The sequence below is a fragment of the Homo sapiens genome, chromosome 6 (genome assembly GCF_000001405.40).
Source record: "Homo sapiens chromosome 6, GRCh38.p14 Primary Assembly".
Taxonomy (NCBI): Eukaryota; Metazoa; Chordata; class Mammalia; order Primates; family Hominidae; genus Homo; species Homo sapiens.
Window position 1 is genome coordinate 16,310,682 of NC_000006.12, and position 22,139 is coordinate 16,332,820.

At 47.3% G+C, this 22,139-nt stretch overlaps 2 protein-coding genes across 4 annotated transcripts in view, besides 9 other annotated features; both read right to left on the reverse strand.

The window, feature by feature from the left end:
* The window catches only part of ATXN1 (ataxin 1), a 462,349-nt gene that overhangs the window by 11,570 nt on the left and 428,640 nt on the right, over nucleotides 1–22,139 (reverse strand). For all 3 annotated transcript variants that reach the window (NM_001128164.2, NM_001357857.2, NM_000332.4), the window contains one exon: nucleotides 15,713–17,789. In NM_001128164.2, the coding sequence (NP_001121636.1) occupies nucleotides 15,713–17,629 (1,917 nt within the window). In that variant the 5' untranslated portion in view covers nucleotides 17,630–17,789. The remainder of the gene's footprint in view (nucleotides 1–15,712; nucleotides 17,790–22,139) is intronic.
* Nucleotides 9,657–9,776: an enhancer, noted in NCBI's record as "active region_24101". NCBI's record gives its function as "activates an Ori minimal core promoter by ATAC-STARR-seq in GM12878 lymphoblastoid cells {active_cell/tissue: GM12878}" and the evidence as "EXISTENCE:reporter gene assay evidence [ECO:0000049][PMID:35858748]".
* Nucleotides 9,657–10,522: a biological region, named in NCBI's record as "H3K27ac-H3K4me1 hESC enhancer GRCh37_chr6:16320601-16321434".
* Nucleotides 9,689–10,522: an enhancer, noted in NCBI's record as "H3K27ac-H3K4me1 hESC enhancer chr6:16320601-16321434 (GRCh37/hg19 assembly coordinates)". NCBI's record gives its function as "activates a minimal SCP1, AML or CMV promoter by ChIP-STARR-seq in primed H9 embryonic stem cells {active_cell/tissue: H9 hESC(primed)}" and the evidence as "EXISTENCE:reporter gene assay evidence [ECO:0000049][PMID:30033119]".
* Nucleotides 12,000–12,059: an enhancer, noted in NCBI's record as "active region_24102". NCBI's record gives its function as "activates an Ori minimal core promoter by ATAC-STARR-seq in GM12878 lymphoblastoid cells {active_cell/tissue: GM12878}" and the evidence as "EXISTENCE:reporter gene assay evidence [ECO:0000049][PMID:35858748]".
* Nucleotides 16,694–17,254: an enhancer, noted in NCBI's record as "H3K27ac-H3K4me1 hESC enhancer chr6:16327606-16328166 (GRCh37/hg19 assembly coordinates)". NCBI's record gives its function as "activates a minimal SCP1, AML or CMV promoter by ChIP-STARR-seq in primed H9 embryonic stem cells {active_cell/tissue: H9 hESC(primed)}" and the evidence as "EXISTENCE:reporter gene assay evidence [ECO:0000049][PMID:30033119]".
* Nucleotides 16,953–17,043: a tandem repeat, named in NCBI's record as "ataxin 1 repeat instability region".
* Nucleotides 16,955–17,041: a repeat instability region, noted in NCBI's record as "repeat instability region; expansion of the (CAG)n trinucleotide repeat (CTG relative to the plus strand of the reference genome) is associated with spinocerebellar ataxia type 1". NCBI's record gives the evidence for it as "EXISTENCE:polymerase chain reaction evidence [ECO:0000082][PMID:8358429]" and "EXISTENCE:Southern hybridization evidence [ECO:0000078][PMID:8358429]".
* Nucleotides 17,661–17,750, reverse strand: LOC127903862 (uncharacterized). Its single transcript, NM_001414722.1, has one exon. It carries the CDS (start codon nucleotides 17,748–17,750, stop codon nucleotides 17,661–17,663), a length of 90 nt encoding a protein of 29 aa, NP_001401651.1.
* Nucleotides 21,417–21,711: an enhancer, noted in NCBI's record as "tiled region #3581; HepG2 Activating DNase matched - State 12:CtcfO". NCBI's record gives its function as "activates a minimal TATA promoter and a strong SV40 promoter by Sharpr-MPRA in HepG2 cells {active_cell/tissue: HepG2}" and the evidence as "EXISTENCE:reporter gene assay evidence [ECO:0000049][PMID:27701403]".
* Nucleotides 21,417–21,711: a silencer, noted in NCBI's record as "tiled region #3581; K562 Repressive DNase unmatched - State 4:PromP". NCBI's record gives its function as "represses a minimal TATA promoter and a strong SV40 promoter by Sharpr-MPRA in K562 cells {active_cell/tissue: K562}" and the evidence as "EXISTENCE:reporter gene assay evidence [ECO:0000049][PMID:27701403]".

The window sequence follows — 22,139 nt, forward strand, 5'->3', positions numbered from 1 at the left end:
CTTCACCATGTTGGCCAGGATGGTCTCGATATCCTGACCTCATGATCCACCCGCCTCAGTCTCCCAAAGTGCTGGGATTACAGGCGTGAGCCACCGTGTCAGGCCTCCATTGGATTTTATACACATTCAGACACACAAAAACACACATGCATAATTGAAGTACCAAAAAAACTTTAAAAGTAGTAGATTTCCACAGATTGTTGCTTTTCTACTTCATCTTCTTTGTTTCCTTTGTTAACTCTGATTGATCTAGTTCTGATACATTTCTAGAATGACAGACTTTACTGGATCCATACAAGGCATATTTTTAGAAGAGACAACTTGAGTACATTCATATGGCAGCTTGTAAGCATGAACCCCTTCTCCTGTGTGTATTACTGGGGGAAAGTTTCATTGTTCTGGGCTATTTTTATAATGTGAAGCAAGCTAAAAGTTTTTGAGTGCCTACTCTCTGTCAAGCTCTCAGGTACAAACTTTACAAAAAGTATTTTGTTTAATGTTCATAATAGTATTAGTATGGAATAGTATTGCTCTTCCAATTTTGTAAATTTTACGAATAGTCACAGAGAGATTAAGTCACTTGCCTAATGTCATAGCTATTAGCTAATGGGTTTAGGATTTTATCCCAGTCATTGGCCCCCAAACCCATTTTCTTTTTTCTGTGCCTCCTGACCTCTACCCTTGTGAGCAAAGACATTACAATGCCACCAAAAGAGATGAACTAAGCATTCCTGCTACCCCCCAACAGTGGTGAATATTGACTGAAATAAGTAGGATCCAAAGGCATGAGCTCATGGGCTTGTTCCATGGTACAGATAATTGTGATGCAGTGTTTGCCTTATAGCCACTCATACAATTCTAGTTACCCTGTACAAGTGTGTGACACTATTTGGTTTCAAAACTACATTTACATCACACACAGAAACATATATGTGCATATATACATAGACAAATATACTTACAAGTGACTGTATCAGATGGGGATACCCACTGTATTCTAAGTAGGAGGACCAATCTGGAACTGGCTCCATAGATCCTCTTGCAAACCTCTTAGAGTCATTAACAACATAAACTGAACAGAAGGAAACCAATCCCACATCAAGTGGAGATTGTTTTGCTGCAAATCCAAGTCATAAAAATAAAACTCTCAGGTGTTAACATCTGTCTCGTAAGACTCTCTACCAGAGTTGCGGTTTGCTTATTCTTGCCCAACACCAGGCAGAGGTAATGTGACATTCAGAAGACCAGAAGCCTTAGTTCCAAACATGTCAGCCTCTTTTCTGGTTCTGCGTGTTCCCGGATAACTCCCTGTCTCCTTGCTGGCAGATGGCCGGACACCTACCCATGGAGAGGCCCTTGGTGTGTGAGCCACATTATACACACTTCACAGGGCAGGCAATATTTAATTTTCTGAAAATAACATCTACTGTGTTCTCATAGGTAAACTTATCTGAGGATTTCCACGTTACCAAGTATCTGTAGACTCATTAAGAAATGTCTACAAGCCCTTTATAACAGGTACTATAATTGATTAGTGCAAAAGTCAGGATACAGATACACGTGTTTCCCTCTAAAGACTTCATAATGTTATTGGACATTTTGAAAGCCTTTCATTATTTCCGCATCTCAAAACTCCAAAGACACCACTCTTGTAATCCCAGCACTTTGGGAGGCTGAGGTACAATTGTGAAATAGCAAAAGAACGAACATAACTAACTCCATTTTTGTTTAAAGGGTTTTACCCTTTCCTGCACGTAGGCTAGGATAATTTTATGGCACCGAGATAATATACACAAACAACAATCATGTACTTTTAGAAACTAACTCTGGGATTAAAGGGGAAGTATATAAACAACTAACTATATATTGTTAAAGACTGATAGGAGTGGCTGGGCACGGTGGCTCACGCCTGTAATCCCAGCACTTTGGGAGGCCGAGGCGGGCGGATCACCTGAGGTCAGGAGTTAGAGACCAGTCTGGCCAATATGGTGAAACCCTCTATTAAAAATACTAAAGACTGAAGGAGCATTATGACCTGACCAAGGACAAAGAAGTTCTCAACCTTCTTGAACCCTCACTGGTGCCCAAATGTCTATGGTCCTCAGTCTCCTCGATACTAACCCCTTCGTCTCCCCCCATACCCCCCTCCCATAAAAACCCTCCAACCAGCCTAAAAAATTGGAGATTTTACTTAATTTTTACAAAATTATTATTTCTTGAGATGGATTCTCTGTTGCCCAGGCTGGAGTGCAGTGGTACAATCTCGGCTCACTGCAACCTCTGCTTCCTAGGTTCAAGCTATTCTCCTGTCTCAGCCTCCTGAGTAGCTGGGACTACAGGCATGTGCCACCACACCTGGCTAATTTTTGTATTTTTTAGTAGAGATGGTGTTTGGCCATTGTGGGTCAGGCTGGTCTCAAACTCCTGACCTTAGGTGATCCGCCTGCCTTGGCATCCCAAAGTGCTGGGATTACAGATGTGAGCTACCATGCCTGGCCTGGAGATGGTACTTTAGAAGGCTAGCTCATCATCTTCTCAATTTCTCTGGCTTTCCCAATAAACCTGCTTTTCCTCTCACCAACCTCATCTCTCGTATTTGGCTTTTGAGTGGTGAGCAGCCAAACCTAAGTTCAGTTACAGAGGTGCGAGGGTCACTCGAGCTACTGCACCACTCCAGCCTGTGTGCCAGAGCAAGACTCTGTCTCTAAAAACCAAACCAAACCAAACCAAACTCCAAATCTCCAAAGACAGGCCTTAGAATTAAATGCTGTGGTGTGAACCATAGCTAGAACAGCCTGCCGAAAAATTCACGAGAGAAAAGTGATGGAGAGAGAGAATATTTGAGATGCGTACTAAAACAAGATGACGTTAATGGAATTTTTTTTTTTTTTTTGAGACAGAGTCTCGCTCTGTCACCCAGGTTGGAGTGCAGTGGCACCATCTCAGCTCACTGCAATCTCTGCCTCCTGGATTCGAGCGATTCTCCTGCCTCAGCCTCCCAAGTAGCAGGGATTACAGGTGCCCACCACCACCCCTGGCTAATTTTTTATATTTTTAGTAGACACGGGGTTTCATTCACCATGTTGGCCAAGCTAGTCTTGAACTCCTGATCTCAGGCGATCTGCCCGCCACAGCCTCCCAAAATGCTAGGATTACAGAAGTGAGTCACCGCGCCCACCTGGCCTGTTAATGAAATTTATGTTAACCTAGATAGGCTTGGGAGATTCTTCTTTAATCACTTCAAAGGCTTCTCTTTGTTTCTTTTTGCCTAAATTCTGCCTTTGCTTCCTACCAAAGGAGCTGTGTCACCCTGCGAAAAGATGCCACGACCAGATATCAGCTGGGTCCATGAAAGCTGAGGTGGGAGCGGAAGATTATTCAGATAATCTGATCATTGTAGGCACAGATCGGATAGCTTGCCAGCCCAATGCTAGTTTTCTCCTCACTAATTAGTGTGAACTACCTAGACAATGTACTTTTTCCCCCTTGGGGTCTGAATGTATGAGAAGTAAAATAAGGTTTTTTTCCCTTCTTTGGTGAAAGTTAAAATCTTGTTGCACACATCTCAAATAGGTACACTCAAGCATTCATAGCAAATCTATCTTTATTTTATAATTAGGTTTGTCATAAGGATATAAACATTCTTAAAGGTTAACTGATCATTAACCGTTAATGAAGAAATCTCACTGAGGGGTTTCTCAGTGAGAATATATATCATCAAATCTGTTGCTTGAAATTCCCTTGGAGAGGAGCCTTCTCCATCTCAAAACATGCTGTCAATGCCAGCGGGGACTGGTTTGGATGTGAAACAGAGACGGTGTGATTTTGTAGGATGATGTCATCTTCAACTGGAACAATAAGTCTGTGAATTCCTTGAATTTAAAACCCATATGGGTATTCTCTATGATGCTGATAGCTTCAAAATATTGTTATTATTATTATTTTTTTTTTTGAGATGGAGTCTTGCTCTGTTGCCCAGGCTGGAATGTAGTGGCACTATCTCGGCTCACTGCAAACTCCACCTCCTGGGTTCAAGCGATTCTCCTGCCTCAGCCTCCCGAGTAGCTGGGAGGCATAAGCCACCACACCTGGCTAATTTTTGTATGTTTAGTAGAGACGGGGTTTTACCATGTTGGCCAGGCTGGTCTTGAACTCCTGACCTCAAGTGATCTGCCTGCCTTGGCCTCCTAAAGTGCTGGGATTACAGGTGTGAGCCACCGTGCCCGGCCTCAAAATATTATTGAGGGTTCCTAATGATACATTTCAGGCTTTCCAGTTTTAATAAAAGTTCAACAAGTATACACCGAGCACCTGCTAAGTGTTAGGAACCTTAGAAGAGTATCTATTGGTTAAGACCTAGTTTCTTGCCTCCCACCAGGAGACAGAACATACACGCAAAACGGGTACATTTGGACACCAGTGACCACACTATCCGATGACGTCCACTCAGATGTCGAATGGGCAACTCAAACTTAAAGTGACCTAAAACACACCAGACCTCCCGATGTGCCCCTGCCCGGTGGCCATCCCATGTTCTTCCCCATCTCCATAAATGGTATCCCATTCTTCCGGCTGTTCAATCAAGCACCTTGGAATCATACTTTCTTCCGCTCTTTCTCTTACATCACAAACATCCCAATTATAAGCAAACTGTATGGGTTCCTTTTCCAAATACACCTAGAATGATACTATTTTTTTACTACCTCCACCACCTTTGTCCTGGCCAAGCTGCATCTCACTCGCTCGGTCACCACATGCAAGCCTGATGTGGTCTGCATGTGCCCCTTACTCCCTACACTGTAGCAACAGTGGTCTCCTTGCTGGTTCTTTAACCCCTCTTGCGCCTTCCGTCTGGGCACCTGCTACTCTCTCCATTCATTTGGAATCTTTTTTGCCTCACGTACTGTTGCCACCCACTGTCCTTTTCAGAGAGAACTCCCCTGACAGTTCTATTTAAAATAACAACCCTCTAGTTTCCATAGCTTCCTTTTTTTATTTTGAGATAGGGTCTTGTTCTGTTGCCCAGGCTGGAGTACAGTAGCATGATCATGGCTCACTGCAGCCTTGACCTCGTGGGCTCAAGATATCTTCCTGCCTCAGCCGCCTGAGTAGTTGGGACCACATGCATGCACCACCATGTCCAGCTAATGTTTTGTTGGTGAAGATAATGATGATCATTATGTAGAGATGGAGCCTTGCTATGTTGGCCTGGCTGGTTTCAAAACTCCTGGCCTCAAGTGCCCTCTTGCCTCAGCCTCCCAAAGTGCTGAGATTACAAGCATGAGCCACCTAGCCTGGCCCCTTCTCCTCTTTATACCAGGGATCCCCAACCCCCAGGCAACAGACCAGTAGCAGTCCATGGCCTGTTAGGTACTGGGCTGCACAGCTGGAGGTGAGCAACCATTCCAGACTGAGCTCCGCCTCCTGTCAGATCAGTCGCAAGCATTAGATTCTCATAGGAGCGTGAACCCTATTGTAAACTGCGCATGCAAGGAATCCAGGTTGTGCACTCCTTATGAGAATCTAACTAATGCCTGATGATCTGAGGTGGAACAGTTTCATCCCAAAACCATCCCCCTCCCTCTTCCCATCCTGCCAAAAAATCTTCTTCCATGAAACCAGTCCCTGGTGCCAAAAGGGACTGGTTATCTTCTTATGCATTCTTTTTTATTTACTTGTATATTTGTCTGTTTTGCCTCTTTCCCCAAACTCAGTGTTCTATCTCCAGAGTCTAAAAGACTTCCTAGCAAGTAATAGGTGCTCAGTTAAAATCTGAAAGAAGAGGCCGGGCATGGTGGCTCACACCTGTAATCCCACCACTTTGGGAGGCAGAGGCGGGCTGATCATGAGGTCAGGAGTTCAAGACCAGCCTGACCAACATGGTGAAACCCTGTCTCTACTAAAAATACAAAAAAATTAGCCAGGCGTGGGAGCAGGTGCCTGTAATCTCAGCTACTCTGAAGGCTGAAGCAGGAGAATTGCTTGAACCTGGGAGGCGGAGGTTGCAGTGAGCCAAGATCACGCCATTGCACCCCAGCCCAGGTGACAGTGCAAGACTCCGTCTTAAAAAAAACAAAAACAAAACAAAAAAAAAACTGAAAGAATAGTTCTGTTTGCCTTCTGTATGGAAAAACATTGCAATGGTACAAGTGGACAACAGGGGGCAATAGAGAGACTGCCTGTCTTTTTTTTTTTTTTTTTTTTTTTTTTTAACCAGCCAGAACTAAAGTGGGCTGTGACCTCCCCCAGGGAGAGGAGCAGTGCTTTCTCCAGGGTGTGGCTTTACCGCCTAACAGGCAGCTTTCTCAGCGGAGCCATAGCCACCTCACCTTGTCAGATGCTGAGGTCGTCATGATTTTATTGAATCACACTTCAGTTATTTTCTCTCCACTCTCGTTCTTGCAGCTGTGTTAGTAATCATTAAGTCATTTTATGATCTTGCTGGGGTTCCACACATTTTCCAGAATGGTTTCTGATTAAATCCCAATGAAAATAAACTCATGGGAGCAGTACCACAGATAACCAAAGCACGTTACATAACGCCAGACAGCTCAATATAGCCCATTTTTTCATCCAGTAAATATATCCTGTTTCAAACACCCTAAGCAGTAAGTAGAATAGCCTTTATAACTTTTCTTTCTTTCTTTCTTTCTTTTTTTTTGAGACAGAGTCTCACTCTGTCGCCAAGGCTAGAGTGTAGTGGTGCCATCTTGATTCACGGTAACCTCTGCCTCCCAGGTTCAAGCAATTCTCCTGCCTCAGCCTCCCAAGTAGCTGGGATTATAGGCGCCTGCCACCACACCAGGCTAATTTTTTTGTATTTAGTAGAGACGGGTTTTCACCATGTTAGTCAGGCTGGTCTTGAACTCTTGACCTCAGATGATCCACCCACCTCGGCCTCCCAAAGTGCTGGGATTACAGGTGTGAGCCACCGCGCCCAGGGATGGCCTTTATACTTTTGTAAGCTTGAGGGCCCTCTGTCTTTCATCTCTGGATGCCCTGTCGCCAGCACCTCTTGCTTTTGGGGGTGGACCGCCTCCCACCCTCCTCCACTCTTTCCCTCCCTCCTCCCACTGCTGCCAGCAAGCCCATGTGCTCATCAGTGTGGTTATAAGAGATCTGCCTACCCCTTCCTCCATCCATCCCCCTAAATCGACTCCTCTAGAACTGTCACCTCCAACTCCCATTTTGGATGGACGAACCTAGACAGGGAGACAACACCGACTCACTTCTGGGCTCATAATTATTTTTTAAATGTCACCTTCCTAATCTGACTAATGACTGGCTTTTAAGAAAAATTTTAGCTCCTCTGTATGAAAATTCAATAAAATTCCTTTCACCACTTAGTCAATAACTACTATATCTAAACACTATGCACATACACGCATATTTATGCTGTTTGATTGTATATTTCAATCTTAGATTGGTGCTATGTCTATATACACACATATGTACATATCACCAAAAACAAGATAGAAAGAAAACAAAACGTCTGTTGTTTAAATATGTCTCCCATTTCCTTCACAAGAGTCCCTGTTTTCACAAATTGCGAAGGGCATCTGTTTTACAAAACATTTTTTCATGACACTATCCCAGACATACAAATTTCGCCTGTTGCTGGGAGCAATGAATTCTCTCATAAGCTAGGTTTCAGTAAGTATGTCTTGTTTTTTGGCGAAATTATTAAATTGGGCATTCTTAACTTTGTCTGCAAGTGAAATTCTCAGTCTTGTTTTACCTGTAGAGAAAGGCCGGTCTGCTTTCCTGGAAGGCTAAGTCTGCATGGTTACGTTCTCAGCATGAAAAAAATCAGAAAACCCCGTCTCAAAGATGAAGGGGGTAAGCGAGAGACCCATTTACTGCAATGTTTAAAAATCATTAATAAAAACAGTCAAAACGCTTTGGCTGAGTGTAAGAATCTCTGTGAGTGTTCTATTTAAAACACTGAATCATGTTCACGCAAAGCCTGACTCAGTCCTTGGTGGAAGTGTTTCAGGGTTGTTCAGTAAACCCACACCCTAGCACCGGGACGCCTCCTAACACAAATCCCACATTAAAAGCTGGGTTTTTCTTACACATGGTAGCGTGGCTCACAGAGCTCCCTTGTGGGAAGGCCCTGTGGGGAGGCTCAGGGATGGCCAGGAAGGACACTGCCCAGTGAGTGACCACAGCAGCTGTGACACGGAAGCCCTTAGGCACACAGGTTCTAGCTCACTTGCCTTCCTTTTCTGGGGCCTTAAAATGTGTGCCTTAGGCAGGGAAGGGTGGCTCATCCCTGTAATCCCAGCACTTTGGGGGCCTGAGGCGGGAGGATCACATGAGCTCAGGAGTTCAAGAGCAGCCTGGGCAACATGGCAAGACCCCGTCTCTACAAAAAAATAGAAAAATTAGCTGGGCGTGGTGGTGTGTACTTGTGGTCCCTGTTCCTAGGGAGGCTGAAGTGGGAGGATTGCTTGAGCCTAGGAGGTCAAAGCTGCAGTGAGCTATTATGGTGTCACTGCACTCCAGCCTGGGCAACAGAGCAAGACCCTATCTCAAAAAAAAAAAATGTGCCTTAAAGAACAACATAATATTCAGTGCTAAAAAGAAATGAGCTATCAGAGCAACAAGAAGACATGGAAGAACCTGAAATGCATATCGCTAAGTGAGAGACGCCAATGTGAAAAGGCGACATACCGGATGATTCCAACTGCATGGCATTCTGGAACAGGCAAAACTATGGAGAGAGTAAAATGATCAGTGGGTGCCAGGAGTTTCAGGTGGGGTGTGGGGGACAAATAGTTGATGCATAAGGGATTTTTAGGGTGGTACAGCTGTTCTGTATAATAATGTAATGCTGGATACATGACATCATAAATTCATCAAAAACAGCATGTACAACACAGAGTGAACTGTAGTATAAACTATGGACTTTAGTTAAAAATAAGGTATCGGTACTGGCTCATCAGTTGTAACCAATCTATCACACCAATGCAAGATTTTAATAACAGGGAAAACTGTTAGGTGTGTGAGACCTCTCTCTACTTGCTGTACACCTAAAACTGCTTTAAACAATAGTCTTTAATTTTTTTCTAAATGCTATAAACAACAACAGTCTGAGAGAATCAAAACATATAAGATGACCCAGTTGGGGGCACATATAGCACATACAGTTTAAAGGAGAGCATTTTTCTCCTTTTTTTTTTTTTTTAGAGAGGTACAAAGACCCACAAACAAAAATGTGGTTTGACATAGTTTCTCTGTTGGAGCCTTTCCAGCACCAGAACAGACAGGAAGTGTGTATTACCAACAACTGCGGCACAAATCCAGGGCTGGGCTCTGCACACAGGGCAGTCACCAACTATCTATTTTTTGATACATTAGGATTCATCGCCACCAAGCTCGGCATGTTCAATGTTGGCAAGTGGGTCTGCCTTGGCTGCAAAGGGACTGACTCTACAGGCTCATGTGCCGCCTGCATGAGGGCCTCGGCTATTTTTAGGTACCAGCTAATCCATTCAATGCATAATGTTACCACCGATGACTCACAGCTCACAGAAGTCAACCAAAAAATAGTAGAATGAAAGGAAAGCCATCGGTAGACAGCCAGTAAGTACATCATGATAACAACTGCTGTACGAGCACACACACAGGCACACTCACACCCACGCCAGGACAGTCGGGAGGAGGAAATGGCACTGAATATTAAGCAGCCACCGAGTCAGGGAAGCAGTCACCTCGGGAGGCGCTGGGAAGCGACAGACGGCCCTAATAACACAGAGCCTGGCATTTAGGAAAGAAGCAAAGGAACGTGTCAACCCAGAGCACTTTACCAATACATTTTACAACTCCACTGAGCAAATGCTGTGTACTCTTCAGAGAAGCTGAACCTAGGAAGGGTGAGACAGAAGGATGGGATAATATAGAACGCCGCCAGATGGAAGCCAAAGGCTCCCCAGCTGGGGCCATCCTGGGCAGGGCTGTCCCAGCGGGCACGTCACTAACAGCCTCTTGCAGAAGAGGAGCCTGGGAGCCCTTGTTTCTGCATTGGTTGTCTTACTGATCTGGAGGGCTGGAGCACCAATGCACCCCTCAAATCCAGTTCATACTCAGAAATACAGATTGATATGCTCACGCAGGCTGGCATGACATCATTTAGCCTTAGAAACAGGAACGGCGGGAAGGGTGCTCGCCTCGGCCACTCGCGGGATTCCACCCCGAGGATTACAGGCAGGGTAAAAATGGCTTATTGTGCTCATTGGAAAAGTTCAGCCTTCTTTCTAGACTTTCATCAGCTGCCTCTCCTTCCATAAACTCTTTTTAGAACACGAGGCCTTTGATTTATTTTTCAGCTGTGAATCACTTTCTCAGGGCCCGAGCCATCTAAGTTGAAGCAGGGAAGGGAAAACTAACATTGCACAAGGTCCCAGTGCTACTGACGGGTGAGGGATATGTTCAGACTCAGATCTCTTCAGTGCCAGTTCCTGCATTTTCCAAGCAGCTAACCTACTTCCTACCCAAGGAGGAGGTGCGAAGCCCCATCCTTCTTTTGAGTTGCATTGGCTCCCACGTTGATGCTATCGCCTCGGGGGTCGCATCTGGATGCGCCACAGACTTATGGCCTCAAACTTGGAGGATATTAAGTGGATTATATTTGGCAGTGAGGCCCAAGGGAAGTGATTCTGTCATCCTTTGGGACTCTCAACCAGAATCAAGGCATGGCAAAGCAGCAACTCTCTTCCAGGGTGGGGAACGTGCTATCACCCTCCACTGAAGAGGAAGGAGGCTTCCTTTGGTGCACGCAGTAACAATGGACAACACCTGGCATTCCCCTTTCCTCCCACAGCACCTAGGTGGGGGCCTGGGGGATGCATAGACGCTTTGCTCGAGTGGAGAAAAGCTGTACTGGGCAGGGCAATGCCACAGGGATAGTGACAAACACGGAAAAGCATTTTTCTCCTACATTGCCTCGTCTGGAGCGTCAGCTGGGACAATGCTGGGGGCATCTTTCCACAGTCTTAATGAGGAATTCAGCCCCTTAAAAATCATCCCCAAACTAAACACCCCTCAGTTTTATATGCCATGGCTTTAGTTCCCATGAGGTCTGTGTGCCGCTTAGCATGAGGTCAGTACATGTTCATCTTAATGCTCTTCTTGGTTTTTTGTTAACCGACGCTAATAAATTTTTACAAGGGCTGTGCTGTTCTGGAAAGTATAAAAGTGAAGCATTAAAAAACGGAACCCTCTCAAGAGATTATCTCCTATGAAGAATCATACGTGGCCGGGCGCCGTGGCTCACGCCTATAATCCCAGCATTTTGGGAGACCGAGGTGGGTGGATCGCTTGAGCCCAGGAGTTCCAGACCAGCACGGGCAAGATAGCAAAACCCTGTCTCTACAAAAAAACACAGAAAATTAGCTGGGTGTAGTGGTACACACCCATAGTCCCAGCTACTGGGGAGGCTGAGGTGGGAGGATCAATTGAGTCCAGGAGGTTGAGGCTGCAGTGAGCCAATGATCCCATCACTGCACTTCAGCCTGGGTGACAGGGCAAGACCCTGTCTCAAAACAAGCAAACAAACGAACACAAAAACCCACAGAAAAACAAAACTCATTTGCCTGGTTTAGAGAGGAGAGTGCTGCAGCTCAGAGAGGTGAAGTAACTTGTCCTGCCAGAGACCCAAATCCGCACCCCTGGGTCTGTCACCACCATACTATATCACACTGCTTTCCCTGGGGGTGTGATGTTGGGGGGGTCTTATGAGTTCAGGCATCCTCAAGAGTCTGTTCATGCAGGATTTCTGCCTAGAGTCACAATGCCATCTGTTTTGGAGAAAACCATCTCTTCTTCCACAACTTCCCCAATCAAATTTGTGATTTTGCTTATTAAGCTCAACAATTTGCACATTTCTGAATTTCTCTGTGGGTGCAGTGTCAGCAGTGCCTAACCAGTTGAGAAGACCAGGAAGATTCTTCAGGCTAGGGGAGAAAACCCCTCAGGAAGGCACTGCAGAGGGGAGAAGGATGTAGCCTTTGGAACCTCAATTAAGTCCAGATATGAGTTCTCTCTCTCCCTCCCATCTCCCCCTCTCATGCTCTCTGTCTGAGTCTCCACTGACTCTGAACCTGTCACTTGTGGCAAACACAGCTGGTGGAGTATTTTAGCTGTGATGATGTCAGCCGATTTCTGATAGGCTCCTCGGTAAAGTGACAAATCATTGGTTGCGTCAGGCCTTGCACTTTTGTTTCTACAGCGTGAAGCCCTAGCTGCCTTTTCAGCAGGTCTCAGCACACTTGCCTTTCTTTGAGGAAGCCCTTCCCGGCATGCAGCATAGCCACGCGGGGGCCAACCTCACAGACCTGCCAACAGGCCCTGACAACACTTCTACCTGCTCGTCTGCACCCTGGCTGTCAGTAGAGAGATTTAGTGATCTCACTATGGGAAAAAACATGAGAACAGGGCTCTGACTTCACAGGGAAGCCAATTTCTCTTTCATTTAATCATTAATTTTGCAAAGTTTGGAGTAGGGAAAAACACACCTAGATCTTCCTCCCCAAGAACAGAAGAGGGCTGTAAGGGGCTGGGCGCAGTGGCTCACGCCTACAATCCCAGCTTTAGGAGGCTGAGGCGGGTGAATCACCTGAGGTCAGGAGTTCGAGACCAGCCTGGCCAACATGGTGAAACCCTGTCTCTACTAAAAATACAAAAATTAGCAGGGGGTGATGGCGTGTGCCTGTAGTCTCGGCTACTTGGGAGGCTGAGGCAGAAGAATCACTTGAACCAAGAGGCAGATGTTGCAGTGAGCCAAGATCACCCCACTGCACTCTGCACTCCAGCCTGGGTGACAGAGCAAGACTCTGTCTCCAAAAAAAAAAAAAAAAAAAAAAAAAAAAAATAGAAGAGTCTGGTTTCTGCAGAGGCTGCCAGGCCTGGGAAGTGTGGCCCACAGCTGAAGTGGCTGCCTTCATTCTCAAGCTGAAGTTGATGCTGGCCGGCAAGGAACCAGTCGCATTTCTAAACAAAACCTCTTTTCACACCTGCCTCTGTTCACAAAAATGTGTTAAGGATTCTAAGTACCATGAAAAGCAATGACTCTTCACTCATGTTTATTTTCCATGTGTCACCTGGGGTCTGTGAAGAGTCAACTTTGCTCAAGGTAGTTCATTTTCTTTCTCCTAGTACCCACCCCTAATTCATGCAGGAAGTGAACAGCCACTACAGAGGGGTAGTGAGCTGTATTATTATGCCATTTATTTTAAAAATCCTGATTTTCTTTTTTTTTTAAATAAGATCTTTGGGGAAATCTTTCTTGGGCCCTTCCAAAGACTGTAAACCTACAGTGACATCTCATAATACAAAGAAAAGTATTCAGGGCTAAAAGCTCTCGGCAATGCAGGGCCCCGGCTTTGTGCAAGCCCCCATATCCAGTCATTCACGAGTGGTTCTGGAAAACTGATTTGGTCCTTTCCTCACTTGGGCATTTAAGAAATGCTCAAAAAAGCCAGACATAGGGACTCGTGTCTGTAATCTCAGGGCTTTGGGAGGCCGAGGTGGAAGGACTGCTTGGAGCCCAGGAGTTTGAGACCAGCCTAGGCAACACAGCAAGACCCCATCTCTACTAAAATGTTTTTTATTTTTAAATTAGCTGGGCATGGTGGTATGCACCTGTGGTCCTAGCTACTAGGGAGGTTGGGGTGGGAGGATCGCTGGAGCCTAGGAGGTCAAGGCCACAGTGAGCTATGATTGCACCACTGCATTCCAGCCTAGGAGACAAGAAACACTGTCTCAAAAATGAAAAAAAAAAATGCCCAAAACAATTCAAACCATTAATTAGTTTATCTTTTTTTTCTTGTTTTATTTTATCTGAATGTCCCAAATAGCAGCTATTTCATGACTATTTTCAACTCAAGCTGGAAGGAGGCTCTGTCCCATTTGAATGTTTTCAAATCCTAGATGGAAACACTTGTAGAAAGTACGCTCGATAGCCAGGAAAGCTCTCAGCTGCAGGCTGAACCTGCTGGACTCCCAGCAACTTGGGCAGTGAAAGAAATGGGCTGTGGAATAAATGCATGTAATCGATCTAAGAACCTGGAAAAGGGTAGATTGAAGGAGCCTGTGGAAATTAAGAGCGTTAACCATACTTCCAGTGACTCATCTTGGCTACAGCTGACTTTACCCCAAGCCCAGCAGGTCACCTGGGACAGCCCTGACTTCTCAGATTGTATTAACCACGCTTTTATTTTCTGATGCTTTGATATTTTAGTGTCTTGTGGATCCCAGAGGTATAGTCTCTCCTAGGATTAGCTAATTCCTAGAGGCCTGACTTTTATATGCAAACCAACCAGTCCAGAGCTAATTCCTAGGAGCCTGACTTTCATATGCAAACTAACCAGTCCAGAGCCCACTCCCCAGCAGCCTCCTATATTGGTCCATCACACTTAGGGCTGCCTTCCATCTGTTTTTTTTTTTTTGTCTGAGACAGAGTCTTGCTGTGTGTCCAAGGCTGGAGTGCAGTGGCCTGATCTCGGCTCACTGCAATCCCCACCTCCCGGGTTCATGCAATTCTCCTACCTCAGCCTCTGGAGTAGCTGGGATTACAGGCACACACCACCATGCCCGGCTAATTTTTGTATTTTTAGTAGAGACAGGGTTTCACCATGTTGGCCAGGCCGGTCTCGAACTCCTGACCTCTGGTGATCCACCCGCCTCAGCCTCCCAAAGTGCTGGGATTACAGGTGTGAGCCACTGTGCCCAGCCCTTCCACCTGTATTGATCACCCCAGCACCAGCAGCCAGACAACTAAGGACAGCCCCTACACCCCAGAGCACACTGGAATTATCCACTCTAACCAATCCTAAACCCGTTTACCCTGCCTCCCATGAAACCACAATAAAGGCTGTTGTTTGCCACATTTCCCCTCACTCCCTCCACCTCCTGACCCACCTGGGGCTTCCCCAGGTGCCCCCCACTTTACGGTGTTCTACACCTCTTGGTGTAGAGTGCCCTTTCCTCTTGGGATCAGAGAGTATAAAAATTATCTCGTCAAAGAGAGTTGTCTGCTGATCTATCTGTTGGCCTTATCATACCTAAATAATAAGACATTATATATATGTTGGAGACCGGGCCTTGCTATGTTGCCCAGGCTTGAGTGCAGTGATAGTCACAGGTTCAGCCATAGCTCACTACAGCCTCGAACTCCTGGGCTCAAGTGATCCTCCTGCCTCAGTCTCTGGAGTAGCTGGGACCGAAGGCATATACCACTGTACCCAGCTAATAAGACATATTTTAAAACATGGATGTTGCAATGGGATATGATTGCTTTAGCATCTAATCCCCTCACTCCAACGGCATCCTCTGTCTTTTCCTGGTAAGAAAAAGTGCCGAATGACCACTAGAAGGACCTGAAGTCCAGCAGCGTTTCCTAATCAGGGTTCCTCATCTTAATCACAGAATTCAAAAAATAACTAGAGTGGTGAGTTTCTGGATTGTCTCAAGGACTCCATAACTAGCCCCACTCTCCATGCATGGAGGTTAATTCATTACACACAGCAGAGATCACGGGGAAATGGGGCTTATTTTTTCTAGAGAACGCAGTTGGGAAAGGCCGAGTCTAAGGTCTAGGTGTACCCGAGAACCCTTAATCCTGCCTCATAGAAGCAATTCGTCTTGCCAGGAGATGATGATGGCATCACGGTGTGGTGTCCCATCCCTGTGCCACCCTGGCTAACGTTACCTGGGCTCGGTGCTCCCCGACGGCGAACTGTATCACGGCCACGCCCGGGCTATGGCTGTCTTCAATCCTCTCTACGGTGCTGGAGTCGATCTTCAGGTCGTTGCTTATCTCTGCACTCTGGATGAAATCTTCTGTTTTTAAGTCTTCCACCTTCTTTAGCTCCCCGTTGGCCAACTGGATGATGGAGCCTTTCATGAAGTAGGGAGGCAGCGTAGGGGGAGCCGCCGCCGGGGAGGCCACGGACTGCACCACAGGCAGGTGGATCTGGGCCTGCACCATGGCTGGGTAGGCGGCCTGGGTGACCAGGGCCTCAGGGTTGAAGTTCTCGCTCTTGGGAAGGGCGGTGGTGACGAACGTGTGAGGCACTGCAGCAAACTGGGGGGATGACGTGACTATGGCCGGGGCTGCCCCCGACGCTTCCATGTCAGTGCTGCCGACCGGGATGAGCAGGGGCTGTGTGCCGGGGATCACCAGGTGCTGGGGCAGGCTGCCGGCGTAGGTGATTGCTTGCTGCTGGCCGCTCAGGTAGCCGATGACAGGGGGTTGAGTCCCTGCGTAGAAGGCCGTGGCTGGCAGTCCCACCGGGAGTGGCTCTGAAGCACTGTGTGTGGTCTGAATGACCGTGTGGGGTGAGAGCGCGTAGGACCGGTGGCCAGGCTTCCCTAAATGCAGGCCACTTTTGTCGTTGAGGGTAGAAGGGGAGGCTTCACGATGAGTGGCCTGTTGCACCTCCAGGTCAGCTGCGGGCGTGTTGCTGTTGGGCAGGACCATCACAGAGGCCCGGACCCCCGAAGGATCACGACTGCTGTAGTCTGAGGGGCTCGGGTGGACCACCACGTGCCTGGACTCGTACGGGTGAGGAACCGACTTGCCGCCTGCCTTGCCCAGGCCCAGGTCGGCTGAGGACGGGGCCCCGTACCGCCGGCTCTTCTCCATCTCACCGTTCAGGACCTCCTTGGCCTGGATGGCCTGCTGCAGCCGGCTGCTCTCAGCTTTCTTGGTGGCCTCCCGAGGGACAAAGTGGCTGCCGGAGTCGGCGTATTGCATGACGACCTGGGAGGGGGGCCCCAGGGTGAGCGTGTGTGGGATCATCGTCTGGTGGGGGTGGAGGTGGACGGGGATGGCCGGAGGAGAGGCGGTGCGGCCGGTGTTCTGCGGAGAACTGGAAATGTGGACGTACTGGTTCTGCTGGGCTGGTGGGGGGGACCCCGGGGTGATGAGCCCCGGAGCCCTGCTGAGGTGCTGCTGCTGCTGCTGCTGCTGCTGCTGCTGCTGCTGCTGCTGATGCTGATGCTGCTGCTGCTGCTGCTGCTGCTGCTGCTGCTGCTGCTCAGCCTTGTGTCCCGGCGTCTGGCTCAGACTGCCCATGTTGGCCAGCAGAGTGGAATAGGCCTCCAGCTGGGAGCGCTGGGATGGAGTGGTGGCCCCTGCGGCCGAGGCCACTGCACTGGTGACGGGGTTGGCGGTTGGGGGGATCAGCTGTGATGGGATGAAGCTGGCATAGGTTCCACTGTATTGGGAGGACCCAATGAACTGGAAGGTGTGCGGCAGGTGAGCGTACTGCACGGGGGACACCGGGGTCCCTGGCTGCGGGGTGGCGTACGCGGCAGGCAGCGTGGTGGCCACGGGGACAGACCTGGGAGCGCTGGGCGGGGAGTAGTCCAGCCCTGTGGACAATGCTTTGTGTAAACCTATTCCCTGTTGTAAACCAAGCTCCACCGAGGTCCCTGCCGGCCCATGCCTCCCGCCCCCGTGGCCCCGGCCACCAGGGTTGCCCGGGAGCCATGCTGTGCCCTCCACCCGGTGGTTGTCGCTGGGCAGGGTAGGGGCCTTCTCCTCGGAGGACCGGCTGGTGGCGGGGATCTCGCGCTTCTTGGGAGGCAGGCATTCGTTGCTCCGCTCTTGGTTGGATTTCATTTTTCGCCGTCCCCCCTCCACGGTGACTGTTTCACTGTCTGGATGGCTCTGATTTTAGTCTGATAAACGGAAAGTCACATTTGATTTCTGTAGGGGATCCAGGCTCTTCATGAGGAATCATCTCCCCGTGGGTACAATCCGCCAACAGCAGCTCTGGATGCTGGGAAAGGGAAGAGGGCAGTGACAAAGGGAAAAGGAAAGGGAGGAGAAAGGGAAGGAGGGAAAGGACATCAGAACATGAGCACCGGGGAAAGAACATCTTTGGCAAGATTAAGACTAGGCCCTGGACTCGGTGTGAACTCCCATAACCCAATCATACCCCAAGCACTGAAGCAGAGAAAACACTAGCCAACACTTTGGGAGGCCGAGGCAGGCAGATCACGAGGTCAGGAGATTAAGACCATCCTGGCTAACATGGTGAAACCCCGTCTCTACCAAAAATAAAAAATAAAAAACAAATTTAGCCTGGTGTAACATTAGCTGGCACACGGCTGTAGTCCCAGCTACTTGAGAGGCTGAGGCAGGAGAATTGCTTGAACCCAGGAGGCAGAGGTTGCAGTGAGCCGAGATTGCACCATTGTACTCCAGCCTGGGCAACAGAGCGACACTCTGTCTCCAAAAACGAAACAAAACAACAACAACAAAAACAAAAACACTAGCCGTGGCAGCTGCACATTATAAAGGAAGATTATGAAGACACTGGGCAAGTGAACACTGTAACACATATATTTTTTAATGGAGTTAACAACTCCCCTAAGATGTTCTCAATACCCTCTCTCCTGTTTTTTTTTCTCCTTTTCTTCTTCAAGGGCAGATGATGCAGTTCTTAAATTTCCTTTTCAGAAATGTTGGTTCCATTTCTCACCTCTCCTTTGCCTGGCTGGAACATAAAATGAAGCCCTTGGAGAGCATGACACCAGCTGGACCCTGCCCTCAGAGCCAGGCACTGAGAAAAAGCAGGTTAGCAGTGAAAGTCCAGAACAGTCCTTGCACTCGATTTCTGAATCCTCATCTGCCAGAGCCACTACTCTCCAAGATTCCCCTTAGCTCTGGGTCCACACTGGACCTACGATTTCCTCTCCCTAATACACACACACACAAACACACACACACACGCCAACTCAGCAGAGGCCGCCAGAAATAATCCTGTTCTCTGCAAGTTTCAAAAGAATTCCCAGTACAGCCACTCATATGATGACGGAGTGAGACTGTTAAAAACCGAATTTGATTATGGTTAAAAAACCCAAATACCATACAAAAATAGGGCTAGTGCACTGAATGTTTTCTCAGTGGGTTACATGCTTGGTTTGTCCATCTCTCTCTTCCTTTTCAAGTTGTCATTGAAGTTCCCCTTCACACCGTCCCCTTTCTCATTGGAAAGTAACAACTCGCCATTAACACTAGAGACGACAGCTCTTTCAGACAAATCAGATCAGTGTGTTCAAACCTGGACATACAAATGGTGACCCTGGAGCCAGTTCTTATGGTCAAGTATCTCAGTCTCTTACTAACCACTGAAGTCTGAGTTACTGCTGCTGTGTGGGCAAACCAATGCCCAACAGACAAGAGGCCAAATATCAGTGGAACTGACATGACCCAGGCTAGCAAGCAGCGGATGTGATTGCTTCCACAGGTAGCAGCTGTAGGTATGCACAGTGCAACATGCTGTGATTCTGAGAGCTGTGGGATTGGGCTTTGGGAATTCCACACCCTTGGGTTTTGGTATCTCACATCCAGACCCTCTTTTCAATGATCTGATTTTCTTTCTTTCTTTCTTTCTTTCTTTGGAGAGATGGGGTCTTGCTATGTTAACCAGGCTGGTCTTGAAATCCTGGCCTCAAGAAATCCTCCTTCCTTGGCCTCCCAAAGTGCTAGGATTCCAGGCATGAGCCACTGTGTGTAGCCAATGATCCGATTTTAAAACAAACACAATAAAGTAGCGGCCTTCAGCATTCAATCCTTGTCCATGTTGGAGCAACACTGAAATCCCTACTGAAACATAACCCCCTTTCTCTACTCTGCCCCCTACTTTGTAACTATTTTTTAGAGGGGGCAATGATTTTTTTCCTTCCTTCCTTCCTTTTTTTTTTTTTTTTTTTGAAAAGGTCTTGCTTCGTTGCTCAGACTGAAGTGCAGTGGCGTGATCTCGGCTTGCTGCAACCTGTGCCTCCTGGGCTCAAGTGATCCTCCCACCTCAGCCTCCCAGGTAGCTGGGACTACAGGTGCACGCCACCACACCCGGCTAATTTTTGTACTTTTTGTAGAGGTGGGGTTTTGCCATGTTGGCCAGGCTGGTCTTGAACAGGCCTCAGTGATCCACCCACTTGGCCTCCCGGTGCTGGGATTACAGGCATGAGCCACTGCAGCCAGCTTGGAAGGGGCAATGATTTAATGGCCCTTATTGGTTTTGCTCCAACATCATCAATGAACATCATAATGAAATGACAAATGATACAACAGAAAGTTCTCAATCCTTAATGATTTTGATCAGATATCTAGGAAGGTGCAGGTTTAGAAATTTGGTGTCTCGATATCAAAGGACATTTCAGTAAGAATAGAATTTCTCATATGACAAGAGAGGCGCTTAAAGACTGGGACGGAAATGAAAAATAAGGTTAAAAAAACCCTAAAACACTTATGCTGAAGAAATGAAGTGTTGAAGGAGTAATGTCACTTATTTACTCTCGCAACCCAGGTGTTTTTTTTTTGAGATGGAGTCTCACTCTGTCGCCCAGGCTGGAGGGCAATGTGCCAATCTCGGCTCACTGCAACCTCCGCCTCCCGGGTTCAAGCGATTCTCCTGCCTCAGCCTCCTGAGTAGCTGGGATTATAGGCGGCTGCCGCCATGCCTGGCTAATTTTTGTATTTTTAGTAGAGGCGGAGTTTCACCATGTTGGCCAGGCTGGTCTCGAACTCCTGACCTCAAATGATCCACCAGCCTCTACCTCCCAAAGTGCTGGGATTACAGGCGTGAGCCACTGCGCCCTGCCCACCTAGGGTTTTTGTAAGTGACAAATAACTGTGTTCTGTACAGCCTTCCCTTGTAAAAAGAAGTTCTAATAATGAACTTTTATCTTTAAATTTCAAGACTCACTCTTAAGAAAGGGAATGCCAAACGCTCCCACATTTCCATACCAACGAGCAAGGAAAACTCATGCGTGAGACCTACTCAGAGAGAACCAGTCCATGCGCCCCCTGCTGGCCCTCCTGCAGCACTGATCCAATAAAACCCCACAGGGTTTCATGAGGGATATTTATGCAAGAGTGATGTGTCAGAATGCAAAATGAGAACATTTGCATATAGTAGGCCCAGCCAGTAAGGGAATAGGTTAATTAGCCCAAGGCAGCACTAGGGAAGAAAAAGCAGCGGCATAAAAGTCCTTTCAAAGCCAAGTAAAATGTCAAACACATTCAGGAAGGGTCTATTAGCAATGCAAATGTAACATTGCCTGTACAATTGAATGCACAATACACAAAACTAGAAAACTCCTCTGAAGGTACTTCTTTAGGAAGCCAGCTTTCGTAAATTTGAAAAAGAATGCTGACTTGGTTCTCAGTAGTGCTCAGGTTTAATTATACTGTTTATTTGAGAGACATCGGCTTAGTCAGCCCTGAAGACTCACTGGACTGGTCTTCTGCGAAATGATTGCTAAGACATATTGGCCTTAACACACAAATCCAAATTTATTCTTCTGAAAACTTATCCATTGATAAACAGCATCTTTTCCAGAGATTGCCAATGAGAAATCAAGGACACAATGATTAAGACAGCAGTTGCAGCGAGCTGGGGCCAAACCGATAAAAGTTTCCACCCATCCTCCTCCTACATTTAGGGCTATTTACCAGTGCAGCACGGAGCAGACAGGGCTCTCTAACGCTGAGGTATGTGTCCCTTCTCTGGGCCCCGTAAGCTTTCAGTACTGATAAGGGGAAACCCACGGGTAGAGATTGGGTCTTGCTGTATTTTCAATGAACCACCAGAGGGCGCCCCAGGATGGCACCACATTCCTGGTCTATCGGGTGATCATGGGACTAAACAACAAAGAAGTAACTTATGAAGGTGGAAAAGTAGATTTGGAAAATAAGGAAGAGAGAAAAAGAAACGAAAGAAGAAAAAAGAAAAAAGGAGAGTGGGATTTCTGCTCTTAGAGTCTCTAGTTGCAGACAACTGGCCTCTGTGTCCTGAATTGCCCTCCCAGGGGACCCCCGAGGAGTTTATCTCTGGAAGCACCTGCCACAACAAAAAGATTTCTTCCAAACATGGGGCCATGCACAATTATATCAATGCCAAATTACCAGAGAGCCACATATGCAGATCGCACTGTTTAAACATTCCTATTGGAAAAGGGAAATTGGAGGGAGAGTTAATAGATGAATCAAGACAAATGTATTTAGAGTTTGCTACCCATGGTTTGCCTGATAATCACTGTTCTGAATACATTCATCTTAAGCCGCTTTAGAGCTACATTAACTATCTCTCTATCATAATTTCTAAATTTAGCCCAGTGGT